The sequence below is a fragment of the Homo sapiens genome, chromosome 5 (genome assembly GCF_000001405.40).
Source record: "Homo sapiens chromosome 5, GRCh38.p14 Primary Assembly".
NCBI lineage: Eukaryota > Metazoa > Chordata > Mammalia > Primates > Hominidae > Homo > Homo sapiens.
Genome location: NC_000005.10, coordinates 11353855 through 11370490, shown reverse-complemented (window position 1 = coordinate 11370490; position 16636 = coordinate 11353855). Strand labels below are relative to the sequence as shown.

Sequence of the window (16636 nt, the reverse complement as noted above, 5' to 3'; positions counted from 1 at the left end):
GATAAATGGAAGGTGTAACACATTAGATGCTTATTTTTTGAAAATAAATATGCCCATCTCCTCTTTTTCTCCTTTATTTGGGACAGGATGGCTCACAGTGTGATCCCAGCATTAGAACCAGGAGGCTCGGGGGTGCCCATTAAAATGTGCATTGATGCATCCCACTTGGCTGACCTAATCAGAATCTCTTGGGGGTTGTATTCAGAAGTCAGCATTTTCAGCAAGTTTTCTAGATGATTCTTTGAGGAATAAACTAAGATTTGAGAATTAATCCTATTCTAAGGAATGAAAATTGAAATGTAAAAAAAAAAAAAAAACCCAAGTAGTTGGAGCTGAATTTTCAGCTATGCAGTTCTCCCAAGGTTATGTGATCTCCCATTGAATGCTGCAAATCCTTCTAATAAAAATGTGTTTCCGTGATTTTGAAATTTTGAGTTAAAAAAATCCTTTCATTCGTCCAATCAATTGTAGTATGAACTCGTAAAGATTTCATATACTTACTGGTATTTCTTTTAAAGATGATGTGGTTTCAGTACACATAAAATCACTTCTGTGTATATTCTGAAATCCCGGAGGGACCCTTCGTGTCTGCTGCTGGTTCCCTCCGCCTGAGAACCATACAGCTCTTTCTCCAGTGAGGCTCATTCTCTTACTGTCTGCAGCTCTCTGCTAAAATGTCAGGTGCTCAGAAAGAACTTTCTTGATCCCCCTATCCCAACACCACAACCTCCTGACACTTTATCTCTTTTCTCACTGCCCTGCCTCATTTTTCTTCAACACCTTTACCTCCATCCTCCTGCATGTAATAACTTATTTTCAAAGCCAGGGACCTTGTCTGTTTTGAGCACTAGGACATCCTCAACTCCTGGAGGTTCCCAGGCACTTGTTGAATGTGTTGAATGAATATATAGATCCATAGGATTAACTAGTACCTACAAATGATAGATGTAAAATCTAGTACATAGAAATTTAGTTACAAATCGTTCCAAAAATAATAAATACATTGTTTTGTTGGCCAAATGAAAACAGAGCCTTGTTGACTCAAGGAAAACATGGTGTGGAACAGGAACAGGCAAGACACAAGGCGGTGAGCCATATGTAGCCCTTTTCAGCCTTGTAATTATTTTCTGTGTCAAGAACCCCCTGAGATCTGTCACTGGCTTCCTACTGAATTAGCAGGTATTTGTTATTTTCAATTTGGAGATTTAATTTATGCCCTATTCCTTTCTAAAAAGGATGTCACCTTTTTGTGGTCATTTCAGTGTTTTCTTTCCTTATGAACGTCATTCATTCCTACATTTTTTGCAATAATCCATTAGAAAGCACACATTTTTAAGAAAAGATAAAACTATAACATTCACATTTTGCAATAATACTTCACAGAATTATCAGAAAAATGGTTGTTATTTAGATTATTTCAAAATGAAATCTTCAACTTGTTTTTGAAATTTGGATAGTTTATGGTAAGAGGTATTCAACTATTTTGTCAAATCAAAAGATATATTTGCATGAGGTGACATAATTTATTGATTCAAAGATTCATTGGCATGAGGACACCTATTTTGATGTGGCTTTATCAATTGCAGAGCACTTTCACACATAGTCTCTCTCATCTGACCCTCCAACAATACCATTTATATTATTATCTCTGTTTCTACACTTGAGGAAACTGGGGATCAAAGAGTTTGGTGTGTTTCCTGGGTTTATCCAACTGGTTAGAGACAGATCTGGGACAGAATTCACATATTCTTATTTCAAGTTCTGTGGGCAAAAGTGACACAAGAAACAGCAGGAAAATTACTACTTTAGATACCATTTCTGTTTACCTCAAACTATTGAACATCAACACCCTGAGGCCACCTTTCATGTGTAGAATTTGAGGCTGAGCCATGTTGTCATGATTCTTCATAGTAGTTGTACATGGAAATGAGAGCCAAGGATTAAACGTGTCAACATAGAAGCAGGGGATGTCTGAGGTCTTGTGTCCCTTCATTCTCCAGTGGTCCCTTCTGCCCACCTCTCTGGGTCCCTAGAATCTATACCTCCCTCCCTGCCATAGGACTGAACCCTTTCCTCGCTCCCCCAACACCAACCCCACAGCCAAGTGGTCAGTAGTCAGGTAGGTTCTGAGCTGTTTAAGCATCCATTCAGGTCACCTGTAGCTGTGGTGAAGAAGAGATGGCTCTGAGGTTCCATGACAGGATATGTGGTAGTTCTTATACAGCAAATGCCTCAGGCTTAGTCCTAGATCAGCTTGAAAGCCCTTCCCAGTTTTGGGGGGCTCTCTGAACCTATAGGAGCAGCACCCAGCACAGAACATATCTAGGGAAATTCCAATACCCTTTAGTCCTCCTGCATCATGAAATCTTCCTTAACCTGTAAGCCAAGTACCCATGTTTCAGCTGTGAGTCTTCAAGCTCATTTTCAGAAACGCATTGTATATGAAAAATTGCCAGTGCCTGAGCTCTCTAGGCCCCAGTTTTGCCCTGTGAAGAGAAGAAATAGGAAGAGCAAAACCCTATTATAAAATTGAGACGTTAATGCTGGATGATGTAGGAATTGTTGCGGTAATTGGTCATGAAATGCTTTATAGACACAGGGATTATGATTGCATGACATTATGTCTGTCATGGCAGGGGAAACCATCAGGAAAGTTGGTCTGGTCTGTGGATCTACTTCCCCTTTTCTCTTTGGCTCATCCATGTTTTGATTGCACTTTGCCATCCTGCAGGGTCTTGGTCAAGGCCAGGTTCCCAGGATTGTTCTGCACCAGCATAATTGGCAAGAACATTTGGCCTTGACATCTATAACATTTTAGACAAAGTTGAATTTTCTCCAACATTTTTTCTTATTATAATAACAGAGTTCCAGTCCCTGGCAAAGATGTAAATTCTCATGAATGACGTTTTGAGTCCAGTGTGACGCTTGAGATTCACTTTCAAATAGACCATAATGATGAAAAAAATTACTACTAAACAAAAGGACATTTAATTTGAATCAGCAAATATATACACCATCTAATGACATTTTGTAGCAGATTCCCAGAAAACATTGTGTGAGAATTTTTTCTTGAAATTGCCCCAAATAAAATAGGCCTTGTTCATATGGATCTAAAATGTTCTTTCTTGAACACGGGCGGTTGAACACATGAATTCCAGCAGTGACATCTTTAACCTTTGTTTCCTTGGCCCTTTTCTTTCCCATAGTTCTCTGTGTCTCTCTTGCCAATAACTGTGCCCACCCTTGAGCAATCAAAACTTGATCACAGTGGATAAAAAGAAGTGTAAATAATGTTCTTTTTAAAATGCCTTATCTGATTCAGAACTATGCATAAGGCTTACATATGCAACTGTATTTTGCACAAGCATTTACACAGGGAAACACTATGAGCTTATAGTTTTACTCAGAGCCCTCTAATATGTAAAAAAGTATAGTATCCTATTCAGATAGTTAATTTGATTATTATATTCGTAATAATATCAGCACATCAAAAGACTGATATCCACATAGGTAGACTTTACCTTAAGATTCTTCTTCCTTGCCTAGCACCCTTGGTCATCAATTTGATTAATGCCACTAATGAAAATTTCTGAATGCCAAATAAATGCATGTAATAAGAGGATTTTTACATATAGCCTAAGACCATGTTACCACTTAAAAGTTCAGCAGATCCTCTCATTGGTCATCATTGGATGTTTTTTTGAGGCTTAGAATAAAGGAATAGTGATAAAGTAACAATTCTAAATGTACCAGTGATGGATAACTTTTATTTATCTCTGCATTTGGATGTGATGACTGTTTTTTTTTTTTATTTTTACATTTTTAAATCCTTAGCAATATTTTCAAAACCTTCAGGAATAAGAATTGACAACAGGAACTCAAAGCATACTGTACTTAAATATATTCCTGGAAAATTTAAGCTTGAGGTAATATTCAGAGTGATGTTGGCATTTGACAGATCAGATGCGATGAACCTAATTATGCAAAACAGTTACTTTGAATCTGTCATTCATCGGAGCGCTATCTAAATCAGAATTTAATTACCAGCAAAGAGAATGGTAAGGAACTTGCCTGCCCTGTCCCTTTCTCCTCCTCAAAATACTCAGTGGTTTTTATTAACACTGAATTCATAGAATTCTCACCACTTCTCCAATTATTCAGGAATACTGTTCTCTGTGTACTTAAATTTAAAGTAGCCCACGTTAAATATACCAGTAAAACATTTTTCTATTGGCAATTTTAAAACTTTACAATGGCTTTTTTTCTCAAATATTCTAGACAAGAATATTACAATTTTGAGTTTATATGTTCCTGACAAAACAGACCTAACATCCAGCATTTGAAGACTTTGGCTTTGAAGTGGTCCTTGAGGAAGGCAAAATGGAAGGAGAGCTGTCCCGACATGGCCAAGATCAAGGAATCCCAGCACCCTGATATGTTAGTCCGGAATAGAGAGGCTGAACTAGGGCTGCTGAAAGACAGTTGCCAGTTAAATCCCATTACGCCATGTGGGGATTAGTTGTAGGATGTAGCTGAAGGCTCATTCCCAAAATCAGCCATTGTCTCCTTTGGTTCTTGTCCGTGTTCTGTATTCAACATGGAAGATGCCACCTCTCCTTGATGCCCCAAGGCCATCTCATTGCCCCAACGCAAATGATTTTCGTGACGTTTCTGCTCCAGTGGTTCTGACTGTACGTCAGATAAAATATTGGCTCTCAATCAACGTCCTCTTTCCTGTCTGTCAAGCCAGCCTCTTCACCCTCACTAAAGTCTTATTTCCTGATGTACAGAGGCTTCCTTTCTTCAGAGACTTTCTCGTGATTCTCTGGTCCATAGCATTGCCTCACATCAACACCTCTTCCCATATCATGCAATGAAGTGACACAAATAAGGATTTATAAATACTACAAAGCAAAGTGGTGTGTAGCCGCAATTTATACATTAAACCAGTTAGTGGCAATCATTCCTAACTTTTTCAGAGAGAGGCAGGCTAAATGTAAATGCTTCAATTTAGAGGGTCAGAGTAAAGGAAAATATAACTTGAAACCTCTTTCTTTAATATCTGCTTCTCTCGGGGATTTAGGCTGTTGTAAGTTCAAACATTTTGCTTTATCCTTTTCCCAGGGAAAAACTGCTGATGGGAACAATTTCTAGTTCACTTTTTAGGAACAACATCAAGATGGCTTTGCCATTGTGGCTCGCCATTTAAAATAATTTCTATTGTACAATTTAAGGTGCAAGGGCTATGGGCTAATAACAGATTTTTAGGACTGACTATCTACCTGATTCCTTTAGTGAAGAACCTAGCTACATTCATTAGGTTTTGAGAAAAATAACATTTCACTGGTCTTGTTCCATGTGGGTTTATCTCAGAAACGTTGTCATTTTTAGAGTGAGATCATGTTTGGTCGCAAAGCCAGGCAGCTGGGTGATGCCGACAGGCTGATTAGGTTGACATATTGCTGCCATTTCATGCTATTCATTTGGTTTCCTGGGAATTTCAACAATTTTGTCCAAAAAAATTTGAATATGTCTTTGATTAAACAAGTTCTGTTTGGAGGTCGCCTGAGCTTTGATGTCCCTCTGTTGATTTATTTCAGCTGGTTCCCGAGCCTCATACAGCAGCCAGCATGGGCACCTGGGCCCAGAGTTGCGGGCCCTGCAGTCCCCAGAACACCACATAGATCCCATCTATGAAGACCGCGTCTATCAGAAGCCCCCTATGAGGAGTCTCAGCCAGAGCCAGGGGGACCCTCTGCCGCCAGCACACACCGGCACCTACCGCACGAGCACAGGTGTGTAATCAGGACCCCACTGGGTGGCCTGTCCACAGGGGGTGGGCTCTGCGCGGGAGCTTCAATAACACTCCCAAATGAAAGGTGTGTGTCTGTGTCCACTATCCCCACAAGCACTGTGACCTGCTTCTATCAATGTCTGTAATGATAATGGTAGAAACAGAATATGACTTTAATTCAGGCTACCTTGGTATAATCTGAATGAAAGGAAGCAAATGGCGATTGTAAGCTCATTTTGTCAAAGAGAAAAATTGAAAGAAGCAATACTAATGTTAAGCCCATCGTTATTCACTTACGTAATGAATCTAAGTACCCCAAGGACGTAGTCATTTGTAGGACGTGAAAGACGTATGCTTGATGATGGTAAGTGTTTTTTTCATGATATTGTCTACCTATTTGGCAAGCTTGGAACAAAAACATATTTACTAAACATGTAGCATATTTTGAAAGGCAGACAATTTATTTCATATACACTAATAGATTGAATCACAAAATTATTGTGTGAAGGTTGGATGTTGGCAATTGCAAATGGTTCAATCAGTTATATAGCTCTCCTGGATTAAATATATATTTTCAATTGAATACAACCACAGATCACACGACAAAACGCAAGTGTTTTCCAGTATCTGGAGCCATTTGCAACATAATCTGTCAAATGTCATAATTAGATTGCTAGAGAACACTTATCTTAACTCCAAAATCGATATAATTAAAAACAGGTTGAGAATTGCATTTATTATCAAGCTGCACATTGCTAAGTAAACTGGAATGACTGTGTTGCTGGTCTGCAGACAGTACAGCTCTCTCCTTCTTTCCTAATGATATATATGAGCTCCGGCAGGGACTGAGGCTGGCAGAGCTGGCTCTCTGCTTCAGAACCTGGCACGCAGATCTCTACATCCTCAGACTACTGGAATTTCTAGTGACCACTAAGTAGAGCATAGCAATTTTCTTAAACTGCCTTATGGTGCTAAATTACATGCTTTGAAATCAAGGCAAGCCAAGCTGCTTTTATAGTTGATTATTGATATTTACATTTCAGTATTTCACTGAATCATAGGGAGAAAGGCACAAAATACTCTTTATTTTATTTTTGACATCATAAATGCCACCCAATATTAATAATACATATCTTGGTTTTGATGATAAAGAATGCCTATTTGTTCTTCTGTCAGAATTTTTTTCACCTTCAGCCTGTTAGATCCACTCCTGCTTGGAGTTGGGCTACTTTAGCATTTAATGTTTGCATGTTTTTAAGTAAGGTAATTTTATTTTTATGCACATCTTATAAAAGAAGAAGATAACCACAGTGACATTCAATATCTAATTTGAATAAAAACTGACAAAAGAGATTATGTTGATTCTCTATTCCATATTCACATGTTCTTAGAATTATCCTTTATTAATAAACTTCCAGGAATTTAATGAAAAATTAGCTACATAAGAAAAAAAAACTTTAATTCATCTATATCACATTAAACACAGGGAAGATATCCATACTTAAAAAAAGAAAACTCTAGTGTGATAGTGTTTTTTCTGAGTCTGCATCAGCAAACAATGGCCCATGGGCCATTTGTAGCTCACCAATCTACTTTAGTAGTGCCCATGAGCTAAGAATGATGACTGCATTTTTAAATGATTGGGGGGAAAAATCAAAAGATGATTAATGTTCTGTAATATGTGAAAATTATATGAAATTCAAACTTCAGTATCCATAAATAACGTTACTGAGATGCAGCCATACCCATTCATTTATGTATCATCCATGGTGGCTTGGGCCCTGCAGGGGCAGAGTGGAGTGCCCGTGACAGAGACTCTTGGCAAAACCAAGAATATTTACTATCTGGCCCTTGACAGGAAAAATTTGTCGTCTCCTGCTCCAAGCGGTCAATGGAGAGCTATCCAGAATGAACAAGTGTTTTTTTCCTACCGCCTATGAGGGAGGCAATAGTAACCTTCTAACTGCTTCAAAGGTGAAACCCATTTGCTGGGGGCTTTTCCTGGTAATAAATGTGGCAGAGATGTGCTATGATTGTGACATTCAGATGTCCAAGACCCCAACCCAGCCTGCACCTTTGAACTTAAGGCAATTTTGAGAAAACATGCTGATTGACGTAATACTATGGAAATTTCCAGAAGTGCTTGGATGACCTCTTAGGACCACAAGTGGAGGAGGAGAAACTACCTCTCTCCAGCTCCTAAGCATAAAGCCGCAAACTCTGTCTTCCCTGCATCCACCAAGGTTACCCCTGTGTCTATACCTAATTCATATAATTTCATGTCTTCACATTTTCACAGCCACAGAAACTGTATCACAACCTGCATGTATGAGAAAATGCCTTTAATATGTGTATATGTCTTTTTATTTAGATATTAAAGACATCATATATAATATTATTAAATTCTGTCTAGAATAACACCCATAAAAATGGAGATTACAAAGAAGTAAGGATTAAATATAGTTATCCAGTAGCCGTAAAAAAACATTCTAAGTTTGCTTCCCAATATCTTTGTGGGGGTCATCTGTGTTGTACATACCGCTACCCTGGAGACCACTGATACAGAACTCTAAGAGGTTTGCAGGCCTAAAGCAGACACCCTAACTCCTTGAAAGAAGAGGACAGGTTCTTATGAGGCCTACCAGCCTGAAAATGTTCATGGTCTCTGGCTCTTAGCTCAGATGAGTGGCTGAGGGCACCCGAGCAACTGGTCTTATCTTTCTGCCCTTAAGAATAGACCACCAGGTGGAGGTCTTTCAGTACAATTCATAAGGCATTTCCAGATGATACTGCAAGAGAAGTGGGGCAGAAAGATCGAAGACCAGTTGCTTCCCTTCAAGGGGTCAACACTTGGGAATGAAGAAAAGTAGACATGCCTCAACAGTTAGGGAATTATTAGACGGTGTCATTGAAACAAGCATGTGAGGCCAGATAAACAAAGGTAGGATGAAGAATAAAGGGCTGGAGGAAAGATAGAAAAAGATGGTGGTAGGTGGAGCCTAAAAGGAGAAGCTAACTGAGAAATCCCCTTTGGTGGGGAAGCATCTAGCTTGTAACTTCTTCCAGGGAGTGTGCCAAATGCTTTGGGTATTTTACCAACCACCAGAACAATCCTTGGAAGGAGATGCTGTTATGATGCTCGGTGCTTGCTTTTTGGATCAGAAAACCGAGGCACAGAGATGTTGAGTAATATGCGAAGGTCACACGGGTTGTGTGGAACCAGTCTTTAAACCTTCACACAGGCTGGCCATGGTGGCTCACACCTATCATTTCAACACTTTGGGAGGCCTAGATGAGAGAATCGCTTGAGCCCAGGAATTCAAGACCAGACTGGGCAACATAGTCAGACCCTATCTCTATTAAAAATAAATAAATAGGCCTGGAGCAGTAGCTCCCATCTGTAATCCCAGCACTTTGGGAGGCCGAGGTGGGTAGATCACTTGAGGTCAGGAGTTTGAGACCAGCTTGGCCAACATGGCGAAACCCCGTCTCTACTAAAAATACAAAAATTAGCCGGGCATGGTGGCAGGCGCCAGTAATCCCAGCTACTCGGGATGCTGAGGCAGGAGAATCACTTGAAGCCAGGAGATGGAGGTTGCGCTGAGCCAGGATCGCGCCACTGCACTCCAGCCTGGGCAACAAGAGTGAAACTCCATCTAAATAAATAAATAAATAAACAAACTTTCATACGTAGGCAGTCTTACCCTAGATCCTGGGCTTCGTTGACTGCATTGGTAAAAATCATCATTTAAAAACAAAATAGATAGACATTTATTTTCATCTGTGGAGCTTAATGGTCTTCTATATCCTGTTAAATAATATCTGTTTAAGATACTCTGTGTGCTAGATGTACTGGCGGATTCAAAGAGGCTTAAAATCTACTCCTTGTCCTTAAGCATGTTCAATTTTGTTTCAGAGAAAGACATAAACATCTGAAAAATTAACCGGTATTGGAAGGTAATATCATATAGGCTACATGCATATTCCAAAAAAAACCTGAAGACATTGAAATGAGGGATTGAGTTGCCCTTCACTCTCCTGCTCATGTCCCTACTAAAGTGGCCTTCCTCTCTTTTGTGGGTAGCAAGTTGGGGCATGGAAAGGTGTGGATTTGGATGGAATCACACCAAGGGAAGGTATGAGTGTGATCACTCCTCATTCGGTGCTACAGCTGTACGCTCTACCAGCTCGGGTTCATGGGCATGACTCTGGCTCTAGTGGCCACTCTACTCTTTCTGCCCTGCTCTGCCCCATGCTGACCTCACCCCTGGGCTTTCCTTACTCAAAACACCACTAAGGCTAACATGAGTAAGAGACCATTCTAGGGCTGAGAGATAGTCAGGGAGATAACTGCACAGAGAAGACCAGAAAAAAAACTTCAGACATTGAAGATAAGATATGTTAGATCTCTTAACTTTCCCACCAAAGAGGATTTCTCAATTAGCTTTTCCCCTTAGACTCCACCTACCACCATCTTTTCCTATCTCTCCTCTAGACCTTCCTTCTTCATCTCTCTTTTCTTCTTAGCTGTCATAAGTAATCCATCCATGCCTGTTACTTTATTATGAAGACTAATTTAAATCTTGGGTACCAACTCAGATGCGCACTACTGTCTACCTTTTTGTAATCAAACAGGTCCTCCAGGCTTTCCTAACCCAAAAAGCTACCTAGCCATAATGTTAGAGACCTCCTGAGCATGCATATAGGAACATCTATGTAATGTCCAAGGAGCAGGGTACCCAAGTCCTACTCCTCACCTCTCCTCTACTCCAGGCTTGTGGATGGTGACAGAAACAAATTTCACTATTGACAATAGGATTTCATGAAGCTGAACAGGCATGCCATCACCCAAGGCTGTGTTAGAGAACATGGTCTAAAGGGGTTCTCCATCCTCCTGCCCCAGACCTACGTCTGCCAGCCATTGCAAGATAAGAGCCAAAGACCTTTGTCCCCTACTAGGCCCAGCAGAAGGGTATGGGCTCTGGGGACAGCAATGCCTGCATCCCTGGCCCCAGGCTTTGAATAGAGAGACAGATAGAAAGTGCTTTGAACAGGGAGGCAGATAGAAAGTACAGCAGTGCCCACCTGCCCGAGGACTCCAAGAGGGAGACAGAGCCAGCATGGTGGCTCCAGAGATCTGGCAGCCTAGGAAAAGGTGAAAGGGTCACTTTGTGCCACAGAGTGGTCCCTGGTCAACAGAGCTCCCGGAGAGTACCCATCACCAGACATGACAGCCACATCTTTCTTGCAGGACCATTAACAGGGGGAGGCGGGTAGTATAACAGAGAGGAAGGCCACCAGTGTCCTTTCCCTAGATGAGGAGGCAGAATTGTGTGAACTGCAGCAGAAATGACAGACTTACTTTTACATGACCATCCCCCTAATATTTGGGCATTTATACCTCTTGCATGATGAAAATGTAAAGAGATACAATTTTAACTAAGGTGTCTATTTAGATAAAATATACATTTCATGTGAGATGAGGCTTGTCAAAACCAGAGCTTATAAAATAAGGAGTACAGTGAAACAAGGAATGTGTGGGCCTCATGAATTTGCTTGTGGTAAAGTCTATTAAGCAGAAATAAATAACATGAATTTTTATTTCAAACTCAAATGTATGAATGACTGTCAATTTAGGAGTTATTTGACCAACACAAACACTTGACTCTGACAACCCCTTAAACACATTTTTATAAACCAGTAGAAATGGCCAACGTCTGCTGTGATGATAGTCAGATGGATTTTCTTTTGGATAAATGCTATTCAAACTGAGTGTTGAAAACAAGCTTTCTGTGATGTATGTGTCAGCTTGTAATAAAGAAAGAATTATCATAGATATGTTGCAAGGAGCAAACTTGCTAAATATCTTCATGAAGATGACAAGTACTGCAACATAAAAAGAAAAAAGAATGTGGTGAAATAGTTACACATGTAGAGAAAATAGTCTCTAAAAAAAACGTAATCCTCTGCAAGAATAGCCAGTGTTTAATGAAGCGATAGAGGGATTACATAGGACCTGCATATTCATAAAATCTTATTACTGTTATTCATTGTGATATAAATAATAGTCCAGTATCAAAAATATTTTAATTAAAATTATTTGAGTTCACAAAGATGTGAATTATCAGCAGTTTATTACTTATTAAGAGCTGTTACTTAAAATTTTTAAATCAAGTGCTTCCTATTGGAGCAAGTCAAATAAGATTCTCTATAACCTATTAGTTAAAATTTTCACTTTTCTTAGGCTAAAAAGTTAAATGCCTGTTGTTACCCAGTTAGAAATTTTATATCAACCCAACGATAAATGTCATCTTAGAACCAAAGAGAACTTTCAGATGCTTACCTGTGTGGATTCACTTAAAAAGGTATAAATAAGAAGTCTAATTGTTTAGTTGAAGGAAGACAGAGTGTTTGATGGGAGAACAGTTTATTGGTAAAATTCAAAAATATCATAACTGTCATACTTTTGTACAAATAGATCATGAAACCATGTTTATTAATGTCATGTCAACTAGGGATACACATACTGAAAATTACACAGCTGGCCTTGACCTGGATGATGCACCCCAATTACTGGAAGATGTGTCACCTCATACGTGGAATTACATCATTAAGCGTAGCAATGTTGAAAAGAATAGAAGCCAAGTATGAGATTTCAACGGCACATTGAATGGGGCTTCATATAATATAATACCAAAAGTTGGAACTTAAGAATAATTAAGACATTACCCGAAGATACAGCACTATGGAACCATAATTACACATTAGCAGATTCTGCCCTCAACACCAGACATGCTCTATCACTTAAAATTATAATAGAAAAAGCTCTCAAATTTTAAAAAATTACTTATTTAATTTTTTAGTTGACACATTGTAATGACACATGTACATGTTCATGGGATACAATTGGATGTTTTGATACATGTGTATGCTGTATACTAATGATCCAGTCAGGGCAGTGTGTGTATCCATCACCACATGCGTTTGTCATGTCTTTGTGGTGAGAACATTCAAAAGCCTCTCTTCTAGCTATTCTGTAATATACAATATTTTACTGTTAACTATAGTCACCCTACTATGCAATAGAACACCAGAATTCACTTTTCCTATCTCATCGTAACTTTGTACCCATTGGCCATTCTCTCCCCTGTTCATCCTCCTCCCCTCCCTAGTCTCTGGTAACCACTATTCTACTCTCTGCTTCTATGATATCAGCTTCTTTTTTAGATTCCATGTTTGAGTGAGATCCTGTGGTATTTGTCTTTCTGTGCCTGGATTAGTTTACTTAGCATGATACCTCCAGGCTCATCCATGTTATCACAAATGGCAGGATTTCATTTTTCTTAAATGTCTGAATAGTATTCTGTTTTGTATATGTGTTACATTTTCTCTATCCATTCACCCATTGTTGGACACATAGGTTGATTCCCTATCTTGGTTATTGTAAATAGTGCTACAATAAACATGTGAGTGTACAGGTATCTCTTTAACATGCTGATTTAATTTTCTTTGGGTATATACCTAGGAGTGAGATTGCTGGATCACATGGTAACTCTATTTTTAATTTTTTGAGGAACCAACATATTGTTTTCCATAATGGCTTAACTAGTTTATAATACCATGAGCAGTATATAAGTGCACCCTTTTCTCCACATCCTTGCCAACACTTTTCTTTTTCTTTTTGACAATAGCCATTCTAACTGGAGTGAGGTAGTATCTCACTGTGGTTTTGATTCACATTTCCCTGATGATTAGTTATGTTTAGCATTTTTTTTATATACCTGTTGGTCATTTGTATGTCTTGTATTGAGAAATGTCAAGTAAGGTCTTTTGCACATTTTAAAATCGGAACTTTTTTTTTTTTGCTGTTGAGTTGTTGCAGTTTCTTATATATTCTGGATGTTAACCACTTGTCAGATGTATCATTTTTAAATATCTTCTCGCATTCTATAGATTGTCTTCTCAGTCTATTAATAGTTTGCCTATTAATATTAGTATTAATTCGTCTATTTTTGGTTTTGCTACCTGTGCATTTGAGGTCTTATTTTAAAAATTCTTGCCCAGCCCAATATTGTGAAGCATTTTACCTATGTTTTCTTCTAGTTGTTTCAAAGTTTCTGGTTTTACATTTAAGTCTTTAACCCATTTTGAGTCGATTTTTGTATATGCTGAGAATTAGGAGTCTAGTCTCATTCTCTGCATGTGGATATCAGTTTTCTCAGCATTATCTGTTGAAAAGACCATCTTTTCCCCAGTGTAAGTTCTTGGTACCTTTGTTGAAAATAAGTTGGCTCTAGGTGCATGAATTTATTTCTGGACTCTCTATTCTCTTCCATTAGTCTAGTGTCTGTTTTTCTGCTAGTGCTGTGCTGTTTTGGTTACTGTAGCTTTGTCATATATTTTGAAGTCACATAGTGTGATGCCTTCAGTTTTGTTCTGTTTGCTCAAGATTGCTTTGGCTCTTAAGGGCCTTTTTTTGTTTGTTTCATACCAATTTTAGTATAGGTTTTCTATTTCTGTGAAGAATATCATTGGTATTTTGGTAGGGATTGTAGTAAATCTGTAGATCACTTTGTGTAGTGTGGCCATTTTAACAGTACTAATTATTATAACCCATGAGCATGAGATGTATTTTCATTTATTTGTGTCCTCTTCTATTTCTTTAATTGAAGTTTTATAGTTTTCAGTGTAAAGGCCTTTTATCTCCTCGGTTAAGTTTATTTCTACATATCTAATTTTTGTAGCTATTAATATTATAAATAGAATTATTTTCCTGATTTTTCAGCTAGTATATTTCTGTACAGATAGTGTATAGAAATGCTACAGATTTTTGTGTGTTGATTTGGTGTCCTGCAGTATTATTGAATTCATTTATTAATTCTAACAGGCTTTGTTTTGTGTGTGGAGTCTTTAGGGCTGCCCATTTATATGATCATGCCATCTGCAAACAGAGACAATTTGACTTTCTCCTTTCCAATTTCAATGCCTTTTGTTTTTGTTTCTTGCCTAATCACTCTGACTAGGACTTCCAGTACTATGTTGAATAGAAGTGGTGAAAGTGGGCATCCTTGTCTTGTTCCTGACCTTAGAGTAAAAGCTATTAGCTTTCCCTTGTTCAGTATGATATTAGCTGTGGAGCTGTGGGTTTGTCATGTATGGCTTAAATTTATTGTGTTGTGGTACACACTTTCTATACCTAATTTGTTGAGAGTTTTTTTTTGTTTTATCATGCAGGGATGTTGAATTTTATCAACTTATTTGCAGAATCTATTGAAATGATTATATGGTTTTTATCCTTGGTTCTGTTAATGTGATATATCACATTTATTTATTTACATGTATTAAATAATTCTTGCATCCCTGGGATGAATCCTATTTGATCATAGTGAACGATCTTTTTAATGTGCTGTTGCATTTCTAGTATCTTGTTGAGAATTTTGAAAAAATAAACACACCTTTATTGTTTTCTTCTTTCTACCAATTTTGAGTTTAGGTTGTTTTTGTTTTTGTAGTTCCTTGAAGTACACCTTTAGGTTGTTTATTAGAAATCTTTCTTCTTTTTGGATATAGGTGTTTATTGCTATAAACTCCTTCTTATAACTGCTTTTGTTGTGTCCCATAGGTTTTGGTAGGATGTGTTTCCATCCTCATTTGTCACAAGGAAATTTTTAATTTGCCGTTTAATTTCATTAAATTGTTGATTGATTGGTTCAGGAGCATGTTAATTTCCATGTATTTGTAAAGTTTCCAAAGTTTTTCTTGTTGATTTCTAATTCAATAGCATTTTTGTCAGAAAAGATACTTGATGTTGACTCTGTCTTCTTAAATTTGTTAAGACTTGTTTGTGGCCACATATGATCTATCCTGGAGAATGTTTCATGTGCAGTTTAGAAGAATGTGTATTCTGAAGCTGTTGGATGGAATGTTCTATAAATGTCTGTTAGGTCCCTTTGGTCTGGAGCGTAGTTTAAGTCTGATGTTTCCTTATTGATTTCTGTCTGGATAATTTGTCCACACTTAAAGGGGGGTTGAAGTTCCCTACTGTTCTATAGTCTATCTCTTCCTTTAGGTCTAATAATAATTTTCTTTATTCTAAAATTTATTTATATGACTGTTCGTGGAAATGTTCTCAGAAATGTTGCAAGTGTATAGACAAATGAATAGATCAAGATCAGCATGGAATACGCTTGACATGGAAATGCTTATTTTTACAAAATAAAAAGGGTCACAGCACCTGTGGTTTTAAATCCACCAGGTTCCAAGCTATATCCCTAATTTAAGGCCCTTAGCCAGCTAAGGTATTTTGTTTGAACACTTAAGCTTCCTTGGAGTTTCTTTTTGAGCCTCTTATTCAGCAGTGGACATTTGGATGCATAAAGAATATAATATACCTTTTATGCCATAACCACATATTGCCAAGTACTTGATGTAAAATCATTTAGTGCTTAAGATGGCAGAGAAGATTTTTTCCACAGCTAATTCTGTTCTCACCAAACTAGCTCATGTTTGGGAGCAAAACCAGCTCTATCACCACATTGTTGAGCCTCGTGTGAAACCACATGAATAATGCATCTCTTCTCATCTGGCTCTCTAGAGATTGGCAGGTAGGAAACCTGCTCAGGTTGCCCCATGCAGCCTCTCCTTCTGGCCTGCCTCTCTCTTGTCCTGTGATGAGTTTGCTCGGTCCCCTCATCTTACTCAAGGTAAAGAAATAAGTCCACTGTGGATACATTAGCATTCTCCACCCAACCATCCTATTTCCATTTTTATGGAAAATTCTATTCATTGACCTTCCCCTAATCCCTTTCTGTCTTCAATTGAAGGAGATTCTTCTGCATTTCT

General features: G+C 38.3%; 1 protein-coding gene across 12 annotated transcripts in view; it reads left to right on the top strand.

Moving 5' to 3' along the window:
* Nucleotides 1-16636, top strand: part of CTNND2 (catenin delta 2) — a 932611-nt gene that overhangs the window by 533956 nt on the left and 382019 nt on the right. For 11 of the 12 annotated variants that reach the window (NR_109988.2, XM_017009074.2, XM_017009072.2 and 8 more), the window contains one exon: nucleotides 5601-5795. Coding sequence is in view for 10 of the 12 variants with exons in the window: in XM_017009074.2 (XP_016864563.1) it covers nucleotides 5601-5795 (195 nt within the window). In the remaining 2 variants the exon portion in view is untranslated. Of the gene's footprint in view, nucleotides 1-5600; nucleotides 5796-16636 lie in introns of those variants that run through there. The other variant, XM_047416777.1, reaches the window with a different exon arrangement.